Source organism: Homo sapiens, chromosome 9, assembly GCF_000001405.40.
Source record: "Homo sapiens chromosome 9, GRCh38.p14 Primary Assembly".
NCBI classification, from domain to species: Eukaryota; Metazoa; Chordata; class Mammalia; order Primates; family Hominidae; genus Homo; species Homo sapiens.
In genome coordinates, this window is record NC_000009.12 from 125400582 (window position 1) to 125420447 (window position 19866).

A 19866-nucleotide genomic window follows, 5' to 3' on the forward strand; every position below is an offset into this window, starting at 1 on the left:
GTAGCTGGGATTGCAGGCACTCGCCACTATACCAGCTAATTTGTGAAATTTTTTGTAAAGACGGTCTTGCTATGTTGCTCAGGCTCAAACTCCTGGCCTCAAGCGATCCCCTTGCCTTAGCCTCCCAAGATGGTTGGATTATAGGCATGAGCCATTGGGGTCTGCCTGGACTGCTTTTTAGACTCACCTCTACAGTTAGAAGGAAAAATTATTTGAAAAACTTGCCAAAACATCCTGACCTCTAGGCTCTTTCTGCCCTCCCGAGCTGGGCTGATGCACGACTGATGAGAAGGCTCTCGGGGGCGTGGGTACTGAAGGCCTGGGAAGGGTTCTCAGCAAGCCCAGCCTCTCCCAAGCCCGGGACAGTGCAGGGACTGGCCTTTGAGTCCCACGCTTCTCCTTATTAGCAGTGAGACCTTGGGCATGTGGCCTCCCCTCTCTGAGCCCCCTCTCTCTCCTCTTTCATATGAGAGAAGTCACATCTGGATGGTGAGGTTCCCCAGGGTCTCCCAGCTCCCAACGGAGCCTGGGACAGAACAGGCCTTGGGCAGTGATACTTGAGTGGCCTACAGTCTTTTGCCAGAGTTCCCTGGCTCTGGGGCCACAGCTGCCTGTGCACAAGTGGAGGCGGGGAGGGAGGTGGATACTGCATGAGACTTAGTTACTGTGGGCCCTGCAAGGCCCATGGGCAGCTTCACCTGCTCTACTTGTTTACTTAGGAGGTTTTTTTTTTCTTCAAAAAGAAAAAGAAAAGAAAAAGTTCATCTATCATAGCCATGAAACGTTGGGCTTGAAGGGCTGGTTATATTTTTTTCTGACATCATGAAATAAAATGCATAACTACTAAAGTAAAAATGCTCCTGGGAGATCCTGGGAAACCGCCCCTCCCACCCAGTCATTAGCAGTATGGGCTTGGGAGCCATCTGGCTCCAAATAGTGACTCACTTTGTTAGCTGGGCAACACTGGGCAGGTGGCTTCCCCCCTGCAAGCCTCAGTTTTCTTATCTATAGAATGGGATCCTTGGCTGGGCTCAGTGGCGCACGCCTGTAATCCCAGCATTTTGGGGGAAGGAGGCAGAAGGATCACTAGAGGCCAGGGGTTGGAGACCAACCTGGGCAACATAGTGAGACATCCCCGTCTCTACAATAAAATAAATAAAATAAAATAAAATAAAATAAAATAAATAAAATAAAATAAAAGACAGTGAGATCATCATGACGCCTGTCTCAGGGGTTATTGCCAGGGTTCCTTCAGCTAATTCAGAGGCCCAGATAATGGGGCAGGAGGCCCTTGTGCCTGCAGTTATTGATATCATTTTGTTATTTTTTCATTACCATTACTAGCAGCATCAGTGGGCCCCGCAGGTGCTTAGGAGGGCCAGAGTCCAGGGGTTCCCAGGTTGGGGGTCAGGTTGGGCGCCGCCTGAGGGGGGGCTCCGTTCCCTCAGCTGCCACCACCACTATTGCTGAGGGCTGGAACTTCGCCCCACAGCCCCCAAGGAGATCCAGATTTATAAGCCTGCAGGCGGAGTGTTCACTGGGGCTGCTGACTCGGGCACTTTGCAGCACTGGCTTCGCTGTCACCAACGGTTTTGGGGATTGGGAGGTTCCTGACTTTCTGCTGACCTTCCTGTACCCCAGCCCCTCAGCTCCTCTGCTCAGGCCTGACTGCCCCCTCCCCCACTCCACGTGCATCCAAAGAAGATTTCCCCTTCTGGGCACCTGGGGAGTCTGCTGGAGCCTTCATTCTGGCATTGGAGGCAGCTGGGCACAGATCCCATGCGGGAGGACGCTGTGCACATTGCTTATCCTCTCTGAGCCTCAGTTGCCAGGGGGAGGATGGCGATGATGAGGATGGTGACCGTACCGTGGGCTCAGCTGTGCGCCAAGTCCTTTCTGATCCCCTTGATGGGTGCTGGTGGGTGGGGGTGGCATGTGGCCCTGGGGATGCAGCCAGGAGCCACTGGGCCTGCCAGTCTAGGGAGGGTGGGGCTGGTACAATAACCAACACCTGCTGAGCCCTCACCTTGGGCAAGGTGTGGTGCTGAGGGCCGACTGGCTGTGACTGCACCTCACCAGGCGCCTCTGGGGTGGGCACCATGATGGCCCCAAGTCAAAGCTCAAACGCTGGGAGGGGCCAAGCAGGGATTTTTTTTTTTTTTTTTTTTGACAAAGTCATGCTCTGTTACCCAGGCTGGAGTGCAGTGACGTGACCTTGGCTCACTGCAATCTCCGCTTCCCAGGTTCAAGTGATTCTCGTGCCTCAGCCTCCTGGCAGTAGCTGGGATTACAAGTGACTGCCACCACGTCCAGCTAATTTTTGTATTTTTAGTAGAGACGGGGTTTCGCCATGTTGGCCAGGCTGGTCTCAAACTCCTGACCTCAAGTGTTCCGTCCGCCTCAGCCTCCCACAGTGCTGGGATTACAGGATGAGCCATCACGCCCAGTCCCCCAACAGGGATCTGAACTTGCTGAGCTTGGCTGACTCAGGGCACGGGTACTTTCTCGCAGAGGTGCCACATGGGTACCTAGTCTCTGTGACATCTCTAGCTGCCTTGGTTTTTTCCACTGCACCCTGTTGCAGGGTTGGGTGAGGATTCCTGGGGGTGAAGTGTGCCACCAGCCCAGAGTCAGTGTCAGTTGCCCCTCGAGGGTTGTGGTCCAAACTGGAGGAGCCCTCTTGATACCTTCGAAAGTTTGGAATCTCCAGTGTTTGAGGATGGGACGCATCTGATGTTGTCCCTGGGGGCAGCGCCCTCCCACCCCTCTGCTAGCAGGAGGCCCTCTCATCTTGCCTCAGCCCCTTTCAAGGCTGATGGGATGAGCAGCTCCTTGCCCCTGTTGGCTTGAGTCCCCTAGAGCTGCAGTGCACAGTTATCCAAGTTGTGCACTGCACAGTCCTAGAGGCACCGTTCAGATCATAGACATGGCAGATTTTCCAAAGTTAGAACAATTTTCTTTCTTTTTTTCTTTTTTTTTTTTTTGAGATGGAGTCTTGCTCTCTGGCCCAGGCTGGAGTGCAGTGGCGCGATCTCGGCTCACTGCAAGCTCCACCTCCCAGGTTCAGGCCATTCTCCTGCCTCAGCCTCCCGAGTAGCTGGGACTACAGGTGCCTGCAAACACACCCGGCTAATTTTTTGTATTTTTAGCAGAGACGGGTTTCACCGTGTTAGCCAGGACAGTCTCGATCTCCTGACCTCATGATCTGCCCGCCTCGGCCTCCCAAAGTGCTGGGATTACAGGCGTGAGCCACCGCGCCTGGCCAACAATTTTCTTAAAGATGGGAGTAAAGTGGAAGCAAGGGTGCCTTTTCATAATTCTCACAGAGATGCCACATGGCTCAGAATCATTTCTACTTTGGGAAAATGACACCTCAAATCTGGGGAACTCCCACTCATCTTTCTAAGTCCTGCTTCCATGACCCCTGCCTGGGAAGCCTCTAGCCTCTATGTTGGAGTCACTGCCCACTTCCCTACCCAGGGTCCCTCAGTCCCTTCAAACCCCACGCCAGGCTGTGAGCTCCTGGGGTCAGTGACGGCTGCATCGAATTGGTAGGCCACCCACCCCTGGCCTTACCCTTTGCCCAAGGAGAGAGTTCATGGGCATCCCACGAGGTCCAGCCTTGGTGCTAACCAGGAGGCCCTATGAGACTTCCTAGGCAGCTGGAGCTGGGAGGGCCAGCCAAGCTCCACCTCCTCCCCACCATTTTATTTTATTATTGATTTATTTTTGAGACGGAATCTCACCCTGTTGCCCAGGCTGGAGTGCAGTGGCGTGATTTCAGCTCATTGCAACCTCCACCTCCTGGGTTCAAGCGATTCTCATGCCTCAGCCTCCCAAGTAGCTGGGATTTACAGGTGCATGCCGCAACGCCCAGCTAAATTTTTTTTTTTTTTTTGAGATGGAGTCTCGCTCTTGTTTCCCAGGCTGGAGTGTAATGGCGCAATCTCGGCTCACTGCAACCTCCGCCTCCCAGATTCAAGTGATTCTCGTGCCTCAGCCTCCCAAGTAGCTGGGATTATAGGTGTGTGCTACCACACCTGGCTAATTTTTGTACTTTTAGTAGAGATGAGATTTCACCATGTTGGTCAGGCTGGTCTCGAACTCCTGATCTCAAGTGATTCTCCAGTCTTGGCCTCCCAAAGTGCTGGGATTACAGGCATGAGCCACCACACCCAGCCAATGCCTGGCTAATTTTTATATTTTTAGTAGAGACGGGGTTTTGCCATGTGGCCCAGGCTGGCCTTGATCTCCTGGCCTCAAGTGATCCACCAGCCTTGGCATCCCAAAGTCCTAGGATTACAAGTGTGAGTCACTGCACTCGGCCCATCTACCCCCATTTTACAGATAGGAACGCCAAGGCTCAGAGCAGCGAAGGCCTTGCTCAGGGCCCCACAGAGAGTTAGGCACCTGGGCCTTCAGACCCCCCACTGAGGCTGGGCACACCTGCATCCCACCGCATGGTGAGAAGGCAGTCAAAGTTGGCAAAGAAGGTGGCGCTGCGGACAAAGAGGTGGAGTTCTCCAGGCCACCACTCCCCCATCCATGGCCTGGAAGTCATTTCCATCACAGCCAGGGTGCCACTCCTTAGAGACTGACGATTTGGTGGAGCAGAAGGGATCCAGGCTTAGGGTCTGGGGACCAGCGTGAAGACCCTGTCTGCGGCTGCCTGGACCCAAAGTGACCCCCGATCTTGCCTGCCTGGTCCCCCATTGCCAGCCCCCTGCCATCGGGTCCACTTCATCCTTCTGAGATTTATTCTCGGGCTGCAGAGCCTGGAAATAATTTGCTGACAGAGCCCCGTCCCGGCAGGTGCTTTAATTGGTTTTGTGGGAGCAGGCCTATTTAGAGGGAAACAAAAATTATGGTGCTGCTGCCCGTCTTTTCTCTGTAATGGGGGCTTCGGAGTGTTGGGGGTGGGGAGGAAAAGGTGGCTGTGTGGAAAGCAGAGACCCTGGTTTTTCTCTGGGGGCGCAGGTGCTGGGGCCTGGGTGTCCTGGGCCAGGGGCAGTGGAACCAGGCCACCCACTCTGGCCCTGGCTCAGCCTCAGCCTCAGGGCAGGGCAGCTTCTCATCCTCACAGTGCTGAGGGCAAGAGGAGGCCTGGGGACAAAGGGGCCAGGGCAGGGCCAGGGCAGGCAGGGCTCCAGTTCCCAGACTCCATCTTTCTGAAGGAGGCCCTCGCCCTTGCCGGGTGCGCACTTTCTAAAACACAAATCAGGTGGGTCACTCCTTAGCTCCAGCCCCTTCCATGGCTCCCCATTGTCCTCAGAATGAAGCCAGCTTCCTTAGCTTGGCACTCAGTGTCGCTCGAGGCCCAACTGACCTCTGGTGACCTCTCCAGCCACTTCGTCCTTCACTCCTATCTTCGCCCACCCCCTCCCAATGGTCTTTAGTCTTCCCTGGTGGGCTCCTGTGTGTCCCACTCTATGCTAACTCCACAATTGTCCATGATCAAGGAGAGCTTTGTTGCCTCATTATACAGATGAGGAAAAGAAGGCTCAGAAAGGTTAAGACACTTCCTGGAGGTCACACAGCAGGGCAGGGACTTGAACCCAGGTCTGGCTGGCATACAAGCCCACACTTAACTAGTAAGTTATAGGTGGAACTAGCCAAGCTCCCTCTAAGCCCCATGCTTTCCCTTGAAACGCCCCTCCCTACATTTTTCCGCTGGCAAACTCCTACTCATCCTTCAAAGCCCGCTTGATATCACTTCCTTGAGAATCCTTGCTTGACTGACTACTCCCACCTCTAATCTCTCCTCTGGGCTTCCCCAAGGCCCAGCCAAGTCTTTCAGCTCAGCTCTAATCTCTGGGTTTGTCATTTTCTGTGTCAGTGTCTGTCTCTTCCACTTCCTCCCTCACCCCGGACTGGGAAATCCAGCGGAATTGTTACTCATCCTACAGGGTGAAAGTTGCAGCCCTGGAAACTCTGCTAGGTCCAAGATCCTGGGACCCGGGCTCTCGTCTTACCTGCTGTATTGAGCAGCCTAGGCCATAGCTGCTCTGTGCGACTCCGAGCAAGGCCTTGTGCCTCGGCGGACTGAGTCTATAAAATGGGAGGGTCAGCCTAGAGGCATCTGACACTTGGGAACTCTGAGGGCCAGATGTGGGCTGGAACCTCACACCATGTGACCCATGTGAGTGTGACTCACATGATGTATGTGTGAGTGGGTAGCCACGCCCCATGTCAGGGTGGGTCACGTCACCATTGCTGATGCCCGGCCCAACCGGGGATCCAGGTGCTGGCCATGGACTGGGCTAGGAGGCCTGGGCAGAGCGGAGAAGTAATTACGCTGGAGTCAGGGCTGGAATCTCAGCTCTGCCACTCACCTGCTTCGTGTGAGCTCGGACAGGCCTGACCTCGCAGAGCCTCAGCTTCATCTGTAGAACCATGGGAACAATAATGCAGTCATGCGCCAGAGAAGGACGCTTCGGTCATCAAGGGACTGCATGTACGACAGTGGTCCCATAAGATCACAACGCCGTATTTCTCCTGTACCGGTTCTATGTGTAGATACACAAATACTTCCCACTGTGCCACGGTTGCCTACAGCATTCGGTCCAAAGACAGGCGGCACCTGAGTGTAGCCCAGGGGCAAGAGCCAGGTGTGTAGGGGCCGCACCATCTCGGCTGGCGTAAATCCACTCTATGCTCTTCGCAGCTGATGCATTTCTCAGAATGCATCCCTGTTGTTAAGGACACAGGACTGTCCTGCCACCCCACAGGGCTGATTTGCTGAGGGTCACAGGAGAGATTCTCACGGCTGGCCCAGAGCATGAGCTCCAGGGCCCTCACTGTTGTCATCTGCACAAGTGTTAAGTGCCACGTCCCCGCTGGGCCCGGTAGGCAGTGGTGGGCGGTGACTGAAGGATCCAGTCTAGACAGACAACCATGTTAATTCGCAGAGCTCAGGCCAGGACAGTGGGGCGGTGAGGGCCTTGGTTTCTGGGGTTTACGGTGGGGTTGGAGGCTGGGTCTCCAAGGGCCTCTTTCCCTGGTGTGTGATTTTTCAAAGAATCCAGGACAGAGTTAAACAGGCAGGTGCAGTCCCTGAGGACAGATGGCAGGATGTGGCTGGGGGGTTCAGAGGAGAGCTGGGGGCTGGGTGGAGTGAGAGGGGCAGAGCTCTCGGGATGAGTGGGTGGTGCTGGGAGACGAGCAGGGTCAGAGATCTGGAGAGGGGCGGAAAGAGGTTGCAGGCCTGGTTCAGCTGCCCCAATTCCACATAAAAACAGTCAGGGCTCGGTCCTCGGCCTCAGTTTCCCCCTCTGTAAACGTGGAAATGGTCCCTCCCTGTGGTGGCGCGGGGGACGGGGCCTCAGCTCCCCGGGCTCAGGAGATACCGCCTGGACCCGGGCAGCTTAAACACCCCTTCCCCTTCCACGAGGACCGAGTCCGAGGCCTGAGCCGGGCCGGGCTGTCTGCTGCAGGGCGGCGTCGAGACTTGGGGTGGGAGCCCCCGGAGGAGGAAGAGACGAACCGGGAGCCAGAGGGAGCCGGGTACACCGCGGGACTCACGGGGCGCCCCGGGGCCGGGAATCTAGCTACGGAATCCGGTCGGTAGGTGGCGCCGCGAGGCTGCAGTTGGGTTTCCGTCGCCCAGGCCGAGGGTGGTGCGGAGCCGGGACCCGCGGGGCTTCAGCGTCCCCCGTGGCCGTTCCCACCGCCGTCGGTCCGCGGAGATCCCAGGTGTTTTTAGGGCACCCAGGTTCACACCCCGTTGGGCCAAGACCGAGAGCGACGCGCGGGCACCGGACGGGGTGCGAACCCGGGGCGGACGGGCCCCCTGCCCCACCCCCTACTCCCGATCCCCGCAGCTGCCACCGCTGGGCCTCGGCTGCGAAGGCTCCAGAAACGGGTCCCCCGTACCCTCGGGCCTTCCCAGCCGCGCGGGCGTGCGAGGGAGCCGAGGTCCGGGAGGCCGCTAGGGCGGGGGCCCCGGCGTGGAAGGATCGCGCTCTGGGCTGTGTCCGTCGGCCGTGTGCGTGCGCGGAGGCCGTGGGCGCGGCCGGCAGGGGACCCTTCCTTTGTTCTCGCACTTCCTTCTCTGCGGGCCCTGGTCAGGGAGGACGCAAGGCCCAGGCTGCGAGCTGTGCCCGTGGGGACGCAAGCGACGGTGGGTAGGGACAGGCAGGCGCCCCTTCCTCCCGCTCAGCATCCAGCCTTCGGGCTCCCTGGCTGCTTTCCCGAGGGCAGCCTTGGCTGGGAAATGTCACCCTCCCCGGGGGAAGGAAGGGGAGCCGCGTGTGCGCGTCTTCCATGCGTCCTCCTGAGACCACGCCGCGCCCGGAGAAAGCCCTTTGATCCCCTCGCTATCTTTTCTTTTTCTTTTCTTTCTTCTTTTTTCTTTTTTTGAGACGGAGTCTCGCTCTGTTGCCCAGGCTGCAGTGCAGTGGCACGATTTCGGCTCACTGCAACCTCCGCCTCCCGGGTTCAAGCGATTGTCCTGCCTCAGCCTCCCGAGTAGCTGGGATTACAGGCGCCTGCCACCACGCCCAACTAATTTTGTATTTTTAGTAGAGACAGGGTTTCACCATGTTGGCCAGGCTGGTCTCAAACTCCTGGCCTCAGATGATCCGCCCACCTTGACCTCCCAAAGTGCTGGAATTACAGGCGTGAGCCACCGCGCCCGGACCCCCTCGCTATCGTGGATGCGGAACCTGCTCCAAGTCGCGCAGCTGGAAAGGGGCATCGGAGCCTCTGGGGGACGTCCCTGACTCGAGGCCGGGCCGATTTAGGGGGTGGAGGGTCGGATCGACTTCCCCCAAACCAGCCACCCCAGGGAGCCCCTGGAGGGGGCGAGCTGCCTGTGCCTGGAGGTGGGGACCATAGGTCCTTCCCAGCCCAAGGGCTCCCAGAATCCACACAGCAAGCGAGGCCCAGGGCTGGGAGGCGCCCTGGAGGGTGGGTTGGGAGAGGAGGTTCAGAGATGAGCGAGGCCCCACCCCGGCCAGGGAAGTCCCGTCCAGCAGAGCAGGTGGGACTTGTGGCTCATACCCGACGATGTGATCAGAGGAGGAGGGGGCAGGAAAGGTGGCCTTACAGGAGCCAGAGCTTGGGGGCCCAGACACACACCACACACACAGACAGACACACGCCACACACACACACCTCACACAGACACACCCACACACAGACACACCATACACCACACACACACCACACACATAAACATCACACACAGACACACACATACCACACACACCACACAGACACACACCACACATACACACACACCACACAGACACACGACACAGACACACACCACTCACACACCACACACACACACCACACACACAGACATATACACCAGACACACACCACACAGATACACACACCACACACACACACAACACACACACACCACACAGACAACCACACACACAGACTCATACACCATACGCACCACACATACACCACACACACACCACACACAAATACCAGACACACACACCACACACACACCACAGACACATACACCATACGCACACCACACACACACACCACACACACCACACACACACACCACACACACACACACCATACACACACACCACACACACCACACACAGACATATACACCATACACACACCAGACACAGACCACGCACATACCACACACACAGACACCACACACATGCACCACACGCACCACACCACACACACACACATACACACACACGAGCAGAGCAAGGGACAGCCATGTTGTGTGATCTGGGAGGGTGGCTCATCCTCTCTGAGTTGTTTATAAACCGGGCGGGACCCAGGCCTGCCAATCAAAGGCCTGATCTGAATGCTCTTATTGGTTCAGAGATGGACATGTGACCCTCTCTTGGCCAATCAGAGGCTTTCCTGCTGGAAGGGCTGCTGGAAGCCATCTTCGCACGGTTCTTCCCTTGGCTTTAGAGCCCCGAAGCGCTCTTTGACTTGAGCTGCTTTGCATTCTCTCTGTCCTGCCATCGAGAAAGTTCTGAGCGGCTCAGAAGTAATACTGACACTGTATGTAGCGCCCTTCCCACGCCAGCGGCCATTCCCCATGGGAGGGGCAGTGCTGGAGGTGCCCTGGGTGACCGGGACGAGCCGCCGCCCCTCTGCCGGCCTTAGTGCCCTTGTCTGTGAAATGGGGCGAGTAGTTCCTCTCTCAGGGCTGCTGCGAGGCTGAGTCACCGCGATGGCGGCCGGCAGAAGGGGCAGGAGGGGCTGTCGGTCCAGGGGCAGGGGCGACAGGGGCAGCGGTCAGTGGGCGCAGAAGGGGAGCCTCCCCTCCTTGACCCAGAAGGCCTGGGTCTGGGCGAGCGCGGGCACAGCGAGGGCCGGCAGGAGGGAGGGAGTGCCGTGGTGGAGGCACCAGGATCCCCATCCTTGCCTTGACACAGATCAACGGAGGGGGACTGCAGTTTCGCTGGTGGCCCCACAGCCCCCTGCCTCCAGCCAGGGGACAAAGAACAGGAGGGATCCAGAGGTGAGAGAGGAGGTGCACAGTAGCTGCAGGGCCGGACCCTGATGAAGGGAGATGCTGTCCCACACGGAGCCCCTGCCAGCCCCCAGATCACCAAGGCTGGAGCCCCCCAGTGACTCTGCTGGTCACGTCTGTGGGATCCCTGCTCACCCCTCTGTCCTCACCCCTTCCCTCTCCCCCTGGCCACCTGCAGCCTCCTCCTGCCTGCTCAGCCGTGGGTCTCTTTCCCTCTGATCCACTCACCATGGGACCGCCAGGCAGCTCCCAAATCCAAACATGACCATGAGCTGCCCCGGCTTGAAACCCAAGCATGACCCCCTGTCACAGGCTGGACCAAGTCCTGAGTTCCTAAACCACCTTCAGGGCTGCCTGCACCTGCACCTCCCGCTCCTGCTGTGCCCTGATCCCATGTGCTGGGTGAACTGGGTTCTTCCGAGCCCTCCAGCCCTGGATGCTAACCCCAGAGCTGCAAGGTGAGGGGCACCTACGCCGGCAGCCATTCCCCATGGGAGGGGCAGTGCTGGAGGTGCCCTGGGTGACCAGGACGGGCCGCCGCCCCTCTGCTGGCCTTAGTGCCCTTGTCTGTGAAATGGGGCGAGCAGTTCCTCTCTCAGAGCTGCTGCGAGGACTGAGTCTCTCTGAGCTCAGGATTTTCCTCTCTCTGAGCTCCAAAACCACGGGCAAATCACACCCTCTCACTCTCAGCTTCCTGATCTACAAGACAGGGATGGTGATAGAGTACTCAACTCCTAGGGCAGTTGTGGGGCATGTGAAGCATTCAGCCCAGGGTCTGGCACCCTGAAAGGGCCAAACCTGTGTGAGCCACAGTTTTATGGTTGATCATCAATGCCTGTCTAAGAAAGCCCCATTCAGCTTGAACCCAGCTCTCCAGGAAGAGCTCACTGACACCCTCCTCACACACCCCAATCGGCCGTCTTTATTCATCCCCAAAAGTGATGTACAAGGAATGAGTCTTTGGGGGTGTGTCCGTCATCACCCACTGGGGCTGCTTGTGTCTCCAGCTATCCCTCCGAGGAATTCTGCCCCAGACAGCAGAGAGATGGGGGGCAGGGGACACATGGCCATGAGGACAGAGAGCCCTGAGAGGGACTGGGGAATCGAGACATCGTTTTCAAATAATTGCAGCAATCAAGAGAGACTGTACATCCCATCCCAGACAAAGGGAGACCTGTGAGTCCTGAGTGAGGCAAAATTTGACTTGAAACAAGTAGCTTGGGCAGGGAGGTGAGCGCTCTGCCCACAGGGAGGAGGTGGATGATGAAAGAAAGCGCCGTGGCGAACTCGGTTCTTTGCAAGGGTGCATCTTTTTGTTGTCTAGGCTGTTGAAAAATGTGCTCTTTCCTCATCAGAAAATGAGAGAATGGAGCTGGGCGCAGTGGTTCACGCCTGTAATCCCTGCACTTTGGGAGGCCGAGGCAGGCAAATCACCTGAGGTCAGGAGTTCCAGACCGGCTGGGCAACATGGTGAAACCCTGTCTCTACTAAAAATATGAAAAAAAGTTAGCCAGGCGTCCGCGTGCCTGTAATTCCAGCTACTCAGGAGACTGAGGCAGGAGAATCGCTTGAACCTGGGAGGCAGAGGTTGCAGTGAGCCGAGATCACGCCACTGCACTCCAGCCTGGGCGATAAGAGTGAAACTCTGTCTCAAAATAAATAAATAAATAAATAAATAAATAATCTTAAAAAAAATAAAAAGAAAACTAGAGAATGATGACTTCTGTTTACCATGTGCCTGGTTTCCTGTCCTGTCTGTGATCCTGTTGCTGTTTGCTGTCAACTGTTCCTGCTTCAGTGATATTAGAAGGGTTCAAGGAGAATGTGGGTCCCCTCCTTGCCTGCTCTGGGCCTTCCCCTGTTTCTGGCCTGTTTCATCTCCACCCCCGTTGGATCTGAGCTCCTTGAGGGTGGCCCCTACACCCTGCAGTGCTGAGCATTGGGAGGTGTGAGGGTTGCTGAAGGCTGGGGGTTGGTGCTTTTCTTCATTCAGCAGTCATCATTTATTGAGCACCCACTGTTTGCCAGCTCCTTGGCTAAGCATTTCAAGCCCTGTTCCATGGGCTCAGTCTTCCAGGGGCTGGCCGCTAACTACGCATCGATTGATTTCCAGAAGGACAGAAGCACATAGCAGGGCCTGGTCTCCACTGGGGGTGCCAGGAGCTGGGACCTCAAGGCTGAATGGATGAGGGGCCACCCACGTGTGTGCTGGACCTGAACTGGGAAGGATGTGGCTTTTTTTTTTAAGATGGAGTCTCGCTCTGTCGTCCAGGCTGGAGTGCAGTGGTGCAATCTCGGCTTACTGCAACCTCCGCCTCCTGGGTTCAAGTGATTCTCCTGCCTCAGCCTCCTGAGTAGCTGGTACTACAGGCACGTGCAACCACGCCTGGCTAATTTTTTATATTTTTAGTAAAGATGGGGTTTCACCATACTAGCCAGGCTGGTCTTGAACTCCTGACCTCATGATCTGCCCACCTTGGCCTCCCAAAGTGCTTGGATTAAAGGCATGCGCCACCGCGCCCAGCTAGGATGTGGCTTTTCGAGAAGAGAACAGGAGGGCAAGCCACGGATCCAGGGCTCCAAAAGCAGGTATATGGTGGGGATTGATGCAGGCGTGGCTTGCAGAGGATGGGTGCACAGTGCCCTAGACCATGGGAAAGACTTTGGGTTTTGTCTTTTAATTATTATTATTATTGTTTTTAGAGATGGGGTCTCACTGTGTTGCCCAGGCTGGACTCGAACTCCTGGGCCCAGGTGATCCTCCTGCATCGGCCTCCCGAGTAGCTAGGACTACAGGCGTGTGCCGCTAAACCTGGCAGGACTTTGGGTTTTGTTCTAAGCCTGTGGGAACAGCCACTGGAGGGTTTTAAGCAAGATGGGGACAGAGAGGGAGCATCTATGGACCTGGGCTTCTAAAGGCTCCCCCAGCTGTTGAGGGGAGGGTGGCTGGGAGGTGTGGAGGGGCTGTTGCCCATGTGCAGGGGAGATGAGGTGCTGGGCCCAGGAAGGAGGTGGTGGATCGGGGGCTGACAGTACTTGCTGAGGGACTGGGTATGGGGTGTGATGGACAGGAGGCCTGAGGGCCCTCCCAGGTTTCTGGCTTATACAGCTGAGTGGATGAAGCCTCCATTTTTTGGATGAGGGGCAGGTTTGGGGTTCCAGCTTGGCGTGATGGGAGCCTGGTGAACCTTCGGCCCTAATCCATGCCAGGCTCTGGATCTCGGGGGCCCTGAGTGGCCTGTCCACCTCAGACATCATGCCATGTGGGCCTTGAGATGTTTTCTGATGGTGAAAGAATGTGGGTCCCTCGCAGGTGGCCCCGTGGCCATGGTTGGGCTGCTCTGCTGTGTCAGGAGGGCTTAGCTGCCTAGGGTGTCTCAGTCCCCACAGAGCTCTGGCTCCAAGCCTCTGTCACCCTGGAATACAGGCCCTGTCACTAGAGGGACAGGAAGGTGCTGGGGAAGATGGGAGGGCCAGAGTGCCTACGGTGGGCAGGAGGGTGTGGTTGTCAAGGTCCCAGGCTCCTTGGTGTCTTGGTCAGGAGACTTGACCTGGGTTTGAAGCCTACGATTCCCCCAAAGCGTGGGCCAGAGCGGGAGGCGGAGTGTGGTGGGGCAGGGAGCATTGTCTTTGGAATCAGAGAGACCTGGGTTCAAATTCTGGCTCTCCCATATAGTAGCTCTATGTTAGACACCTGGGCCTCTTTGAACCTCAGTCTCCTCATTTTTTTTTTTTTTTTTTTAAAGACAGAGTCTTGCTCTGTTGCCCAGGCTGGAGGGCAGGGGCGTGATCTCAGGTCACTGCAACCTCCATCTCCCGGGTTCAAGTGAGTCTCCTGCCTCAGCCTTCTGAGTAGCTGGGACTACAGGTTTGCACCACCACGCCTGGCAAATTTTTGTATTTTTAGTAGAGATGGGTTTTCACCATGTTGGCCAGGCTGGTCTCGAACTCCTGACCTCAAGGTGATCCATCTGCCTTGGCCTCCCAAAGTGCTGGGATTACAGGCATGAGCCACCGGCCACCTCATCTGTAATACAGGAGAAAAATAATCATCTCTACCTCCTCATAGGGCTGTTGAGAAGATTAAGATGAGGTAGCATGGGCCGGGTGCGGTGGCTCATACCTGTAATCCCAGAGAGGCTGAGGCGTGTGGGTTGCTGGAGCCCAGGAGTTGGAGACCATCCTTGCTAACATGGTGAAACTCTATCTTTACCAAAAATACAAAAATTAGCCTGTCTCAAAATAAATAAATAAAATAGATTGAAATTTAACAATAAAATAAATGTTTAAAAATGAGCTAGCATGTATGGAGTACATGGCACAGCACACAGTGAATGCTCACCACATTTTAACTGTTACGATGGTGATTATTGTAGATTCTGGATACCCCAGTAAACGCGCTACTCCAGACCTTTGCAAATGCTGTTCCCTCCACTTGGAATGTTCTGGGCCAGTGGTGTGCTCCTCCCCCTCCTTCAACGTCCGAGTCAGGGCCACCCCAGCACCCAGCCGACTTGATTCCTCTGCGTGTGCCAGCCTGCGCCCATGCACCCTCTTCACAGCAGTTACCCCTCCCAGGCTGGCCTCCGGGGCAGTGGGTCTGGCCGCTCTCTGTCTAGGGCCTCGCAGTAGGGCATGGGATAAGCACAGCTGAGGGGGTCTTAGCCTGTGCTGGGTGCAGTGTAAGGAAGGAGGCCTGGGAGGCCTGGGGTGGGCTAAGGTACCCGTGGTGGCGGGGGATAGAGGTTGGACCCACGTGGGAGAGGTGGCAGCCATCTGCCTAGGACATCTGCAAGCACACGTGCAGATGACAACTAACGCGAGACGCAGGGGTGTCGTCAGGGGCCAAGGCCCAGAGAGGCAGATGGCCCAGACTGAGGACATGGGCAGCCCAGCTAGACCCGCTGCCCTATTGGCCCCGGGCTTGGGTCGGTTCTAGGCCTTTCTCCTCAGCCCGAATGGGAGACCCAGTGGGCCTGGTGTTGGGTTTTCAGTGGAGAGGAGGGAGTTTATGGCCTTGGTGAGGGGGGGTGGCAGACAGGCAGGGGGTAGATGGCTTTCCCGGAATCCCAGATCTCTCTTTAATAATTTGTTTCAGAATTAATGTCCATTCACGCCATCTTTCTTGTTCCAGCTCATTGGAAGATTAAATAAAGCCCCATCCCCTCCCTGCCAGTGGAGGGAGACCAGCCCCGTTCTTGCCCGTGCTCTCTGGCTGGGCTGGCTGCCTGAAGCCAGTGCAGAAAATAAATCTCTCAGAGAAAACCACTTTGCTCACACGATTTCAATCCAACAGGGCATAGTGGCCCCAGTCACTTCTTGTTTTATTTAGCTGATAATCTTTTATTGTATCAGGAGACCCTCACGGAAGCACTGTGTCTTTCCAAGGCTGCAGCCTTCCCGAACGGCTGGGCTGCCCAGGCCAGGCCCCCTGAGCCAAGCCCCTTCTTCCTCCACTCCCAGGGTTCGGCCCTTGCTTCAGGCGGCACTGCCAGGTACCCAGAAAGGTGGGTTCTTCGTGCCAGGGTATCTGGGAAGGGCCTGGCAGTGGCTGTCCCTAGCTCCAGGGTGCACAGCCAGGGCCTCTGTGGGCTGGGACCCAACTCAGGGAGGCCCCTCAGCCAGTAAGGCCAACTGACATTCACTCATTCATTCACTCAATTCATTCATTCACTCATTCATTCACTCAACACATATTTATTGTACGCCTTCTCTGTGCCACATTTGGAATGCAGGGTGCTCAGACGGAGAGATGGACAAATGGAGAGACCGATGGGTCACAGCCTCTCGGGGTCGTTGCCTTTGTTTCCCTGCATCACCTGATTAAGACTTCTTGCTCCTGTGTCATTTTCTCTGGCATATTTTTTTTTTTTTGAGATGGAGTCTCGCCCTGTCATCCAGGCTGGAGTGCAGTGGCACAATCTTGGCTCACTGCAACCTCCATCTCTTGGGTTCAAGCACTTCTCCCGCTTCAGCCTCCCAAGTAGCTGGAATTACAGGCGCGCACCACCACACTTGGCTAGTTTTTGTATTTTTGGTAGAGATGGGTTTTGCCATGTTGGCCAGGCTGGTGTTGAACTCCTGACCTCAGGTGATCAACCCACCTTGGCCTCCCAAAGTGCTGAGATTACAGGCGTGAGCCACCACTCCCATCCAGCATATCCCTTTTTCCATTTGATTTTATTTAATTTGGATTATCAAGTACAGAAACCAAGTTATTAATTAATAATATTTAGAAATATTGAGGCTGGGCATGGTGGCTCATGCCTATAATCCCTGCACTTTGGGAGGCTGAGGCAGGAGGATCATTTGAGCCCAGGAGTTTGAGCCCAGCCTGGGCAACATAGGGAGACTTCATCTTTACAAAAAAATAGAATATTAGCCAGGTGTGGTGGTGTGCTCCTATGGTTCCAGCTACTCAGGAGGCTGAAGGGGGAGGATCATTTGAGCCCAGAAGTTTGAGGCTGCAGTGAGCTACGATTGCACCACTGCACTCCAGCCTGGGCAACAGAGTGAGACCCTGCCTCTGTTAAAAAAAAAAGAAAAGAAAAGAAAAGAAAAGAAATATTGGAAGCTGGTAGAGTCTAAAAATAAAAATAAAAAAACAGGTCAACAAGTCTTCCTATCAGAGGCACATGATTGGATAATGCTAATGAAAATCCCTCAGCCTTGGAGTCAGGAGAGAAAATTAGCATTAAAAGACTGGAGTGTGCCGGGCACAGTGGCTCACGCCTGTAATCCCAGCACTTTGGGAGGCTGAGGCGGGCGGATCACCTGAGGTCGGGAGTTCGAGACCAGCCTGACCAACATGGAGAAACCCCCTCTACTAAAAATACAAAATTAGCCAGGCGTGGTGGCGCATGCCTGGAATCCCAGCTACTTGGGAGGCTGAGGCAGGAGAATCGCTTGAACCCGGGAAGTAGAGGTTGCGATGAGCCGAGATTGTGCTGTTGCCCTCCAGCCTGGGCAACAAGAGCAAAACTCCATCTCAAAAACAAAACAAAACAAAACAAGAACACTGGATTATTACTTCATCCAATGTTTATGAGTTTTTATCCTATTTTCAGTGTGCCTCTTTATACTAGTATTAGTTCAATTTGTTAGGTATTAATGACTTTCCCACACAGAATTTCTTGAGTTTACAAATCATGTTTATATAACTTTCCTAGTTCAATCTGGGCCAGTAGAGTGTTTTGTAGTCTTAACTGGAGTTTAATAAATGCTATGTAAATAATGATTTTGTTCTGATTCCTTCAACACATTTCTAGTTTTTAACTTTAAAAAACCCTTTTTATTTTAAAGTAATTATAGACTTACAAGAATTTGCAAAAATAGTTTGGAGATTCCTGGATACCCTTTACCCAGCTTCATGCAGTATCTTGTGTGACTATAATACAATATCAAAACCAGGAAGTGGACATTAGTACAATACTGTTAAGCAGACAGACTAATTCCGATTTTACCAGGTTTTATACACTTTCATTTCTGTGTGAGTTTGTTTATGCAATTTAATACCATGTATGGGTTTGTGTGACTCAGACATACTTCTTTAAAAAAATTTTTGTTAAATTAAATTAATCTGAGACAGGGCCTCTCTCTGTTGCCCAGGCTGGAGTGCAGTGGTGTGATCTCAGCTCACTGCTACCTCAACCTCCCAGGCTCAAGCAATCCTCTCACTTCAGCCTCCTGAGTAGCTGGGACTACAGGCGTGCACCATCAGGCCCGGCTAATTAAAAAAAAAATTTTTTTTTGTAGAGATAGGGTCTTACTATGTTGCCCAGGCTGGTCTTGAACTACTGGGCTCAAGGGATCCTCCCACCTCAGCCTCCCAAAGAGCTGGGATTACAGGCATGAGCCACCGCATCCAGCCACTGAGACACATTTAATAATTACTTTATTTTTCCTAACTTTTGACTTTTTGAGATGTAACTTTCCTTGTGTAAGCTGCACAGATTCCGAGTGAGCAGCTCAGTGTCTTTTCACGAGTGGCCCCTCCGCAGATGGGCCGGCCGCTCTGAGGCGAGTGCCGTGGAGCAGCGCTGGCTGTTCTTGCACCTCGTGGAACAGTTTGTGCTCCCCTGAGTCTGGCTTCTTTTGGAGCAAGAAGTGAGGGAGGTCCCCCTGGAGCCTTTTGTCATGGGTACAATATGCTTATTTTATCACTGGCACTCATCATGGCGAGTGATTCTGTGTTTATCACTCTGATTCGACAAATGCTACACATTTTTTAAAAATGGGCCCTCTTGGCTGGCACGCAGTGGCTCACGCCTGTAATCCCAGCACTTTGGGAGGCCGAGGCAGGCAGATTACCTGAGGTCAGGAGTTTGAGACCAGCCTGGCCAACATGATGAAACCCGTCTCTACTAAAAATACAAAAATTAGCTGGACGTGGTGGCGTGCGCCTGTAATCCCAGCTACCCTAGAGGCTGAGGCAGGAGAATCGCTGGAACCCGGTAGGCGGAGACTGCAGTGAGCTGAGATTGCGCCACTGCACTCCAGCCTGGGCAATAGAGCGAGACTCCTTCTCTTAAAAAAAAAAAAAGGGTCCTGTTTGGGGCAGTATTTCAAGCACTGGGCAAGGGGCTGAACTGGACGGACCTAGTCCCTTCCCTAACTGAGCTCAGAGCCTGGCGGGGAACAGCAGGACAGGAAGGTGCTGGGCTTTGATGGGGCTGTTGAGTGTGGTGTGGCCAGGGAGGGTCAGTCCCAGAGAAAGAAAAGAGAAGAAAAAGTCACAGTCAAGAGCATGGCCAGGCAAAGGCTCGGAGGTGGGACTGTCAGGGTAGTGTGTGTAGGGAACAGGAATGGGTGAGACAGGCTGGACAGAGTGGCAAGGAAGAACCTGCAAGGGCTGTGGGCTGCTTTGAGGAGGTGGAGCTTTACCAGGAGCGGGTGGGGCAGTCAGGACAAAGCTTTGAGCAGGTGAGAGCAATGCTCTTAGAAAACACATAATCATGGTCTAGGCAAAGATTTTTAGAAATGACCCGAAAAACACAGGCAACAGAAGCAAAAAATAGGCAAATGACACTACATCAAACTAAAGAGCTTCCGCCCAGCAAAGGAAACCATCAATAGAGTGAAGAGGCCAGGAGTGATGGCTCACACCTATAATCTCAACGCTTTGGGAGGCCGAGGCAGGAGGATCACTTGGGCCCAGTAGTTCAAGACCAGCCTGGGCAACATAGCAAGGTCTCATCTCTAAACAAAAATAAAAAAAAAATTAGCCTGACATGGTGGTGCGCACCTGTGGTCCCAGCTACTTGGGAGGCTGAGGTGGGAGCATCAAAGAGATGTCTGCACTGCCATGTCCATTGCAGCACTATCCACAATAGCCAAGATATGGAAACAACGTAACTGTCCATTGACAGACGAATGAATGAAGAAAATGT

General features: G+C 54.6%; 1 long non-coding RNA gene across 2 annotated transcripts, besides 4 other annotated features; it reads left to right on the plus strand.

The window, feature by feature from the left end:
- Nucleotides 7114-7708: an enhancer, noted in NCBI's record as "H3K27ac-H3K4me1 hESC enhancer chr9:128169974-128170568 (GRCh37/hg19 assembly coordinates)". NCBI's record gives its function as "activates a minimal SCP1, AML or CMV promoter by ChIP-STARR-seq in primed H9 embryonic stem cells {active_cell/tissue: H9 hESC(primed)}" and the evidence as "EXISTENCE:reporter gene assay evidence [ECO:0000049][PMID:30033119]".
- Nucleotides 7114-7870: a biological region, named in NCBI's record as "H3K27ac-H3K4me1 hESC enhancer GRCh37_chr9:128169974-128170568".
- Nucleotides 7561-7870: a silencer, noted in NCBI's record as "silent region_20277". NCBI's record gives its function as "represses an Ori minimal core promoter by ATAC-STARR-seq in GM12878 lymphoblastoid cells {active_cell/tissue: GM12878}" and the evidence as "EXISTENCE:reporter gene assay evidence [ECO:0000049][PMID:35858748]".
- Nucleotides 8911-8960: an enhancer, noted in NCBI's record as "active region_29002". NCBI's record gives its function as "activates an Ori minimal core promoter by ATAC-STARR-seq in GM12878 lymphoblastoid cells {active_cell/tissue: GM12878}" and the evidence as "EXISTENCE:reporter gene assay evidence [ECO:0000049][PMID:35858748]".
- Nucleotides 9880-12197, plus strand: LOC101929014 (uncharacterized). 2 transcript variants are annotated; one of them, XR_007061776.1, is made up of 5 exons: nt 9880-10002; nt 10380-10465; nt 10826-10935; nt 11485-11653; nt 11833-12197. It is a non-coding gene; the product is annotated as an uncharacterized LOC101929014 (long non-coding RNA). The 2 variants fall into 2 exon arrangements; XR_007061775.1 differs by lacking the exon at nt 10826-10935.
- The last annotated feature ends 7669 nt before the right edge of the window (nt 12198-19866 follow it).